At 40.4% G+C, this 10,255-nt stretch overlaps 2 pseudogenes; both read right to left on the bottom strand.

The window, feature by feature from the left end:
• RNU6-995P (RNA, U6 small nuclear 995, pseudogene) lies at window positions 1,439–1,545 on the bottom strand (annotated as a pseudogene).
• Window positions 6,772–8,555, bottom strand: VDAC1P1 (voltage dependent anion channel 1 pseudogene 1; annotated as a pseudogene).

The following is a 10,255-nucleotide window of genomic DNA, read 5'->3' as shown; positions in this document are numbered from 1 at the left end:
TTCATTCATTTCGTCTTCCATCGCTGATACCCTTTCTTCCAGTTGATTACATCGGCTACTGAGGCTTGTGCATTCGTCACGTAGTTCTTGTGCCATGGTTTTCAGCTCCATCAAGTCCTTTAAGGACTTCTCTGCATTGATTATTCTAGTTATCCATTCGTCTAATTTTTTTTCAAAGTTCTTAACTTCTTTGCCATTGGTTCAAACTTCCTCCTTTAGCTTGGAGTAGTTTGATCTTCTGAAGACTTCCTCTCTCAGCTCATCAAAGTCATTCTCTGTCCAGCTTTGTTCTGTTGCTGGTGAGGAGCTGTGTTCCTTTGGAGGAGGAGAGGCACTCTGCTTTTTAGAGTTTCCAGTTTTTCTGCTCTGTTTTTTCCCCATCTTTGTTGTTTTATCTACTTTTGGTCTTTGATGATGGTGACGTACAGATGGGTTTTTGGTGTGGATGTCCTTTCTTTTTGTTAGTTTTCCTTCTCACCATCAGGACCCTCAGCTGCAGGTCTGTTGGAGTTTACTGGAGGTCCACTCCAGACCCTGTTTGCCTGGGTATCAGCAGCGGTGGCTGCAGAACAGCGGATATTGGGGAACCTCAAATGCTGCTGCCTGATCCTTCCTCTGGTAGTTTTGTCTCAGAGGAGTACCCGGCCGTGTGAGTTGTCAATCTGCCTCTACTAGGGGGTGCCTCCCAGTTAGGCTACTCAGGAGTCAGGGATCCACTTAAGGAGGCAGTCTGCCCGTTCTCAGATCTCAAGCTGCCTGCTGGGAGAACCACTACTCTCTTCAAAGCTGTCAGACAGGGACATTTAAGTCTGCAGAGGTTATTGCTGTCTTTTGTTTGTCTGTGCCCTGCCCCCAGAGGTGGAGCCTACAGAGGCAGGCAGGCCACCTTGAGCTGTGGTGGGCTCCACCCAGTTCGAGCCTCCCTTCTGCTTTGTTTACCTACTGAAGCCTGAGCAATGGCAGGCGTCCCTCCCCCAGCCTCACTGCCACCTTGCAGTTTGATCTCAGACTGCTGTGCTAGCAATGAGCGAGGCTCTGTGGGCGTAGGACCCTCCAAGCCATGCGCAGGATATAATCTCCTGGTGGGCCGTTTGTGAAGCCTGTTGGAAAAGCGTAGTATTAGGGTGGGAGTGACCCGGTTGTCTAGGTGCCGTCTGTCACCCCTTTCTTTGACTAGGAAAGGGAATTCCCTGACCCCTTGTGCTTCCTGGGTGAGGCAATGCCTCACCCTGCTTCAGCTCACACACGGTGCACTGCACCCACTGTCCTGCACCCACTGTCTGGCTCTCCCCTGTGAGATGAACCCAGTACCTCAGTTGGAAATGCAGAAATCACCCATCTTCTGCATCGCTCACACTGGGAGCTGTACACTGGAGCTGTTCCTATTCGGCCATCTTGGCTCCACCCCCGTAATAACTTTTTAAAAAGATTTTAAATTACTAATATTCAACACTTCATGAAGTTGCATGTAATCCTTGCATAGGGACCACACTAATTTTCTCTGTAGCATTCCAATGTTAGTATACGTGCTGCCGAAGCAAGCACAATATAGTCAATAACAACATAATTGTACATTTTAAAATAGAGAGTGTAAATGGATTATTTGTAACACTAAGAATAAATGCTTGAGGGAATGGATACCCCCAAAAATTATATGGTTAAAAAATATGACTACCTATTGTACACTTAAAAACAGTTAAAATAAAATAGTATGTCTTATAAAAATTTATCAAATCAACATAAAGCACAGAGAATTATTTTAGTAAGATGCAAAATCTTTCCTATCTAGGTTAAAGACAATAAATAGCAAACCAAGGAAATGAAGCCTATCAAAATTGAGAAAACTTTGCTGAGATATTAAAACATGTAATAGCTTTTCAGACTCAGACATTATAAAACAAGTCAAACAAAAATTGCCTTCCAAGTTTGCACTTTCATTATGCTCTTTCATTTTCTGGAACAGACTGACACTGTACTTTATTTTGGAGGTCTGTGAGGTCAGGACTAATTTCATAATATTACTAAGATGTTATTAACATGCAATATATTCATCATTGATAACTTCAAATGAATCAATAAAGAAGCAATTAAATTTTTTCTTAGTTTCAATTTTTAATATGGTAAATATTTGAAGAAATAACTCATAAAACAATGTTCCTTGGAGACCTCAATACATTCAAAGAGTGTATTAGTCAGGGTTCTTTAAAGAGACAGAACTAATAGGATAGACGAATATGAAAAAGGAAGTTGATTAGGAGAATTGACTCATGATTACAAGGTGAAGTCCCACAATGGGGTGTCTGCAAGCTGAGGAACCAGGAAACCAGTCCAAGTCACAAAACCTCAAAATTAAGGAAGCCAGTAGTGTGGCCTTCAGTCTGTGGCTGAAGGCCAGAGAAGGCCCTGGCAAATCACTGATGTCAGTCCAAGAGTACAAAAGCTGAAGAATTTGGAGTCTGATGTTCAAGGACAGGAAGTATCCAGCAAGGGAGAAAGATGGAGGACAGAAGACTCAAGCCAGTCTAGTCCTTCCACATTCTTCTGCCTACTTTTATCCTAGCCGTGCTGGCAGCTGATTAGATAGTGCCCACCTGGATTGAGGGTGGGTTTGCTTCTTGAAGTCACTAACTCAAATGTTAATCTACTTTGGCAACACCCTCCCAGACACACCCAGGAACAATACATTCTTCAATTCAATCAAGTTGATACTCAGTATTAACCATCACAAAGAGTATAAAGAAGTTTAGAAACAAAAACAAAACAAAACAAAACAAAAATCCTCTGAGAACTGCTGCTTTGGGATCATATTAATAGTGTCCATGAGAAACAGAAGCATGTACACAATCATATTTCTCTAAAACTATTGTTCTTAAATATAGTCTCAAACATTTATATTACCTATCATTTTTAATCAAAGTAACTTCTATTTCACAAAGAAAACTGAGGGGTGGGTAACCGAGAATGGCCTGCCACACACCAGCATATAGCAGAGTAGGAGAGTTCATGGATATGCATAACACACATTTTAAAGCCACCCACATCTCATATACAGCATTTCAAAGTGGCAAGAATGAGCATATTATCATGACCTAAAGATACAGTTTTGCGGTCATGTGCAATGGCTCACACTTGTGATCCCAGCACCTTGGGAGGCCAAGGTGGGAGGAGCACTTGAGCCCAGGAATTTGAGACCAGCCTTGGCACCATAGTGAGAACCCATCTCTATAAAATAAAAAATAAAAACGTTAATGGGGTATGTTTTATTTTATTTAGAAATGATGTAGACATCTAGTGAATCCATTGATTAACTCAATTCAGTATGAGTCCGAGGTTTTAAGTTACCTAAAGATCTAGAAAATTATCTGGAAGCTGACATACTGCAAAGCGTAAATACTATTGAAACATAGTTCATCAGAATAATGATTCAATTTGGTTAAATGCAAATTTACATATGTCATAATCTTAAACATTAAGTAATGCTAGTTTAATTGATCAGTAAACCTGCATAAGTCTAGGAAAAACATACCCATGTAGAATGGAAATGTATACTTGTATTATACTTAACACTGATTAATCAGAGAAAAAGACATGGCTATTTTATACAGGCAAAATTATTAAACTGCTCTGGTTTGCCAAAGTATTAGCTAAATTATGTAAACTTGGATTTGTATGCAGTTTTAGTCTTCTGCTTATGACTAGCCATTTATTGCTGCACCATTTATTGAATAGGAATCCTGTCCCCGTTACTTGTCTTTTTCAGGTTTGTCAAAGATCTTATGATTGTATGTGTGTGTTCTTATATCTGTGTTCTCTTTTCTGTTCTATTGATTTATGTGTCTGGTTTTTTACCACTACCATGCTGTTTTAGTTACTGTAGCTCTGTAGTGTAGTTTGAAGTCAGGTAAATTGATGCCTCCAGCTTTGTTCTTTTTGCTAAGATTGCCTTGGGTATTAGGGCTTTTTTTGTTTCTATATGAATTTTAAAATAGTCTTTTCTAGTTCTGTGAAGAATGTCATTGGTAGATTCATAGACATAGCATTGAATCTATAAATTTATTTGGGCAGTATGGACATTTTAATAATATTGATTCTCCCTATCCATGAGCATGGAATGTTTTACCATCTGTTTGTGTCATCTCTGATTTCTTGGAGCAGTGGTTTGTAGTTCTCCTTGTAGAAATCTTTCACTTCCTTAGTTAGCTGTATTACTAGGTAATTTTTGTGTGTGTGTGTGACAATTATGAATGGGAATTCATTCCTGATTTGGCTCTCAGTTTCGCTGTTGTTGGCATATAAGGATGCTAGTGATTTTTGTACATTAATTTTGTATCGGACAACTTTGCTGAAGTTGTTTATCAGCTGGAGGAGCTTTTGGGACAAGACTATGAGGTTTCTTAGATATAGGATCATGTCATCTGCAAACAGAGATAGTTTGAATTCATCTCTTCCTGTTTGGATGTGTTTTTTTCTGTCTGATTGCCCTAGCCATAACTTCCAATACTATGTTGAAGGAGTGGTGAGACAGGACATCCTTGTCTTGTGCAGGTTTTCAAGAGGAATGCTTCCAGCTTTTGCCCATTCAGTGTGATGTTGGCTGTGGATTTGTCATATATGGCTCTTATTATTTTGTGGTATGTTCCTTTAATAGTTTATTGAGAGTTTTTAACATAAAGAGGTGTTGAATTTTATTAAAAGCCTTTTCTGAATCTACTGGGATAATTATGTGGTTTTGTCTTTAGTTCTGTTTATGTGATGAATCACATTTATTGATTTGCACGTGTTAAATCAATTTTGCATCCCAGGGATGAAGCCTACTTGACCAAGGTGAATTAGCTTTTTGATGTGCTGTTGCATGTGGTTTGCAAATAGTCTTTTGAGAATTTTTGCATCAATGTTTATCAAATATATTGGCCCGAAGTTTTCTTTTTTTGTTGTATCTCTGCCAGGTTTTGGTATCAAGATGATACTGGTCTCATAGAATGAGTTAGGGAAAAGTCCCTCCTCCTCAATTTTTTGGAATAGTTTCAGTAGGAATGGTACCAGCTCTTCTTTGAACATCTGGTAAAATTTAGCCGTGAATCTGTCTCGTCCTGACCTCTTTTTTGCTGTCATTGGTAGGCTACTTATTAGTGCCTTAATTTCAAAGCTCATTATTGGTGTGTCCAAGGATTCAATTTATTTCTGGTTTAGTCTTAGGAAGGTTTATGTGTCCAGGAATTTATCCATTGCGTCTAGATTTTCTAGTTTATGTGCATATGGGTATTCATAATATTCTTCAATAGTAGTTTGTATTTCTGTGGGGTCAGTGGTAATATCGCTCTTGCCATTTCTAATTGTGTTTATTTGAATTCTCTCTTTCCTTCTCTATTCTTGTCTGCTTGTCTTATTTTAAAAAGACAGTGTTCAAGCTCTGAGATTCTTTCCTACACTTGGTTTATTCTGCAATAATACTTGTGATTGCATTATGAAGTTCTGTAGTGTGTTCTTCAGCTCTATCATGTTGGTTATGTTCTTCTCTATACTGGCTATTTTGTATGTCAACTCCTGCCATGTTTTACCATGATTTTTAGTTTTCTTGCATTGGGTTACCATGCACTCCTGTAATTCAGTGAACTCCTTTCTTATCACTTATTCTGAATTCTACTTCTGTCATTTCAGTCATCTCAGACTCAGCCAGGTTCCAAACCCTTGGCAGAGAGGTGATGCGGTCATTTGAAATAAAGAAAGTATTCTGACTTTTTGAGTTTTCAGCATTCTTGCACTGACTCTTTCTCATCTTTGTAGACTTATTTACCTTCAATTTTTGAGATTGTTGACCTTTAGATGGTCTTTAAAATTTTATCCTATTTGATGACCTTCAGAGTTTGATTGTTGTATAAGGTGGATTCAGCCAACTGGCTTCATTTCTGGACGATCTTATGGGGCCAACATTCAGCTTCCAACTCCTGGACTGCATGCTCTAACTCTAGGGGACTTGTATTAGGCCCCGGCATTGTTCTCTGACTACTCAAGGTTTGGAGGCTACTGCAGCTGGAGGACTGAGGTGCAGGAGCCATAGCCCAATGTTAGTGGATGCAGGGGTGCCAGCCTCCCTGAAGGAGTTCATCACAGTGACAAAGGGAAGGCAGTTAAGGAGTAGTGGGGGGCCTCTGAGGGAGACTGTGTGTGCTGTTGCACTGGAGGTGATGTTGGTTTGGGGCAGGCTGCTGGCCAGCGCAGGTCTGGGTGCCTTCTCTGTGCCCTGCAAGTAGGAGTGATGGCTCAGGGTGTGGGAGGAGACCCTGTCCTCTGGGCAGCGTTAGCCACAAGATTGGGGAACTGGTGGGGTGGAGCTTGCTGGCTCTGTGTCCACCAAGGCTCCATCTACAATGGTGGTCTGCAGGGGTCATGGGGCTATGGCACTCCCACGTGCTGGCAGGGCAAGTAAAGCAAAACCCGCCTGTGCTGACACACACCAGCAAACTGATGTGGGGAGTTGCTGTGGGTTAAGGGGAACCTGCAGTATAGGGAGGGAACATGCAGGCTGGTGCACAGCTGTAGGGACCACCACATTGGAGCTCTCCACCTGTCAAGCATGATTCAATGGTGCAGAAGCTATGATTTGTAAAATGTTTCTAAGTTGGATTCTTCAAGCATGCATTTTTAGCACACTGAAAATCTTAAATACTCAGTTTCCTTAATTTCTTGGAATTTTAGAAATATTTAATTTATATAAGCATTTATTTATCTGTGTAAGCCATACAGAATAGAGGTCCTTTTATTTATTTTTTTTGAGGTTTCAACATTTTATTCAAGTTTTCTTAAGTGATGTTAATTACAGCATTTGAAGGGGAGGATCTAATTCCACAAAAAATGGAAGACTCTAAAATGTAGCCATTAAATTGCTAAAAAACAAATTGAGTGGTGAGAATACAGCAGAAGTCCAATTTAGATTCTGAGTGCTGTCACCATGTGATTACAATCACACAGACACTCCCAAGCTTATAGCTGGAGCTCCTGGAAGCTATTTCATACTCTGGTGCAAGGGCAAAAAAAAACACAACACAAGAAGGAATAAGTCCTGAATTATTGGTTTCATCACATCTACCTTCTCCACCCCAAAATGGCACAAAAGAAAGAGTGACCACACCCTGCAGACCTTTTGGTGTAAAAGAGATGATGATGAACTGGGGTGGGAACAGGTCATGAAGATCTGTCTAAAAAAGTCCCATTCAGGTGAGCTTGTACACACCATCAAGCAGCGAGCCTCTCATCAATTAGGGTTAGGAAACCATGGTTCGATTCTCAGGAAATCACAATTTCATTCATTTACTCAATATGAATTTACAAAGTGCCTACATATTATCAGCTTCCACTCGCAGCCATCTCTAGATGAAAAAGAAACCTGGCACCTCAAAGGGGCCACCAAGTTCTCCCCGAGTCTACCACTGAAAGAACCTTTTTTGGAAATGCGTTTCTTCTGTACCTCTGGAAGGGTAACATCTTAAAGCTGAATCATCTTTAACCTGGAGGGGTAACATATTTAGCAATACTTGCATCCCAGACATACAACATTAAAAGATAACACTAAATTCTGAAGGTAGCTATGCTGCAAAATAGTTTAAAATTAAACAATTGTACAGTATTCATTTATGCTTGAAATTCCAGTCCTAGACCAAGCTTGTGGCCACCAGCATTGACGTTCTTGCCATCCAGAAGAGCTGACAGTGTCAGTTTGATACCTGGCTTTAGAGTCTGAGTGTATCCTAAACCTATCAGGCTGGAGTTGTTCACTTTAGCCGAGAAGCAGGCGTCAGGGTCAATCTGATACTTGGCTGCTATTCCGAAGCGCGTGTTACTGTTTCCTGCTGTCCAGGCAAGATTGACGGTGGTCTCCAACTTCTTGTTCACTTTCTGGTAAATGGAGCCGCCAAACTCTGTCCCGTCATTCACATTTGTGTGAAGCTGGAATTCATCAGTCTTGTAGCCAATTGCAAAGTTGCTCTGGGTCACTCGGGATTTTGTAGTCTCAAAATTCATCTGATAGCCGGCCAGCCAGCCCTCGTAACCCAGCACCAGAGCACCCCGGATGGAAGGCCCAACAATGTCGAAAACCATGTCGCAGCCCAGGTTAATGTGCTCCCGCTTGTACCCTGTCTTGATTTTAGCATTTTTTTTCCCAGTGTTAGGTGAAAAGGATGAATCGAAGGTCAGCTTCAGTCCACGTGCAAGCTGATCTTCCACAGTAATCTTGGTGCCTAGTGTATTGTCGGTGTTCCATTTCTCTGTAAACGTGAGGCCGTACTCAGTCCATCTGTACTTGGTTTCCAGACTGCCCGTCACTTTGGTGGTCTGTGTTGGCTGAGCTTGAGCTTGTAAATTCCAATCCATTCTCATATTTTGTTTTCAAATCAAGCTTTATTAAGCCAAATCCATAGCCCTCAGTGAAGACATCCCTGGCAGATTTGCCAAGATCAGCATACGTAGGTGGCACAGCCATCTTCTGCTCAGAGGCGGTGGTGGCGGGCTCAGGGGCGGCTACGGCAGGGGCTGCAGCGCGGAGGCAGGGAGGTCCTTTTAACTTAAGTAACTTTATGATATAATTTATTTTTTGAGGTAAACATTACTTGCTTTTATTTATTGTGTTAGAAATAATATAATAATTTATTAACAACATCTGAAGGTAGAAAATCACACGCTCACATGGGAGGTCAAGATCTTTATAAATTACAGGCACATAAATATGCAGACACAGAGGGGTTTACAGCTTCTATTCCAAAATTTCAGCCATGTGGCCAAAAGCAGTGACTCACACCTATAATTCTAGCACTGTGGGAGACCAAGGCAAGAGAATCTCTTGAGCTCAGAAGTTTGAGAACAGCCTGAGCAACATAGTGAGACCACAACTCTACAAAAAAATTTTAAATTAGCCTGGCTTGGTGGTGCACACCTGTAGTCTCAGCTACTTAGGTGGCTGAGGATTGCTTGAGCCCAGGAGATCGAGGCTGCAGTGAGCCGTGATTGTGCCACACCACTCCAGCCTGGGAAACAGATAAAAACCCTGTCTCAAGAAAACAAATAAATAAACAAAAATTTCAGATATTAATTAAGAATAAACACAGAAACATAAAAAATCGCGTCTAGATATCAAAGAGCTAGTCCCCTTCCTGTTAGACAAAAAAAATTCCTAATTATTTGAACTTAATTAAAATAGACAGACAACAAATTGAAAAAAAAAAAACTAACAAATACGATTCCCTGTTGTCTCTCACCCAACATAGATATTATAAACATTTAATCCACTTACACATATCATTGATAAGGGTACAAAATCAAATTCCTCGTGTATGGTCAGACTATAAAACCAAATTCCCAGTAATTACTCCTAGCTATGATACATAACTTATTAGCCACAAATGAACAAAAACAAATGAAATCAAAACACAAAATTAGTAGAGATGAAGATCAAAACTAGATAAATAGGAAGTCAGCAGTGCTGGCGAGGAGTGGTGGCTCACGCCTGTAATCCCAGCACATTGGGAGGCCATGGCAGAAGGATTGCTTTGAGCTCAGGGGTACAATACCAGCTTGGGCAACATGGTGAAACCCCATCTGTACAAAAAATACAAAAATTAGCCAGGCTTTGGTGGCTCATGCCTGTAATCCCAGTTACTCTGGAGGCTGGGGCTGGAGAATCGCTTGAGCTTGGGAAGTGGAGGTTTCAGTGAGCTGAGATCGCACCACTGCACTCCAGCGTGAGTGACAGATTGAGACTCTGTCTCAAAACAACAATAACAACAAAAAGAAAGTCAGCAGTGCTATATTGCCAATTTGGAGTCACCTTTAGAAGCCAAGAAAGACTGGTCTGGGCTTAAACCGCTTATGAGGTGCACTTCTCTCGTTAAGTTTGCTTGGTTCCATTAGAAGAACTCACTAGGCATCTCTGGAAAACTGTTAAGAGACAATTTTCAAAAAAAAAAAAGTAAAATCATGACTGTCATACAAATATGTTATATATTTCATTTAGCCATGAGGAAACAACACAGATATGACTACTGGTTCGAAAGAGACTCTGAAGAACAAATAAATTTAAAGATCAGAAAAATTAAAATAAATGTTCAAATGGAAGCAAAACTGGTTTTTTCTAGTAGGATGAGGGACCAAAAAAGAGAAGTTATTTGGACTTCTGAATAGACAGAATTTGCAAATCCATAAATAAGAAGTATTTTTCATTGTTTCCATTTGTTTACAGTTTACAGAGTTATTAAATAGCTTT

Source organism: Homo sapiens, chromosome X (assembly GCF_000001405.40).
Source record: "Homo sapiens chromosome X, GRCh38.p14 Primary Assembly".
In the NCBI taxonomy this organism is placed as follows: Eukaryota; Metazoa; Chordata; class Mammalia; order Primates; family Hominidae; genus Homo; species Homo sapiens.
This window is presented reverse-complemented; position numbering and strand designations above follow the sequence as displayed.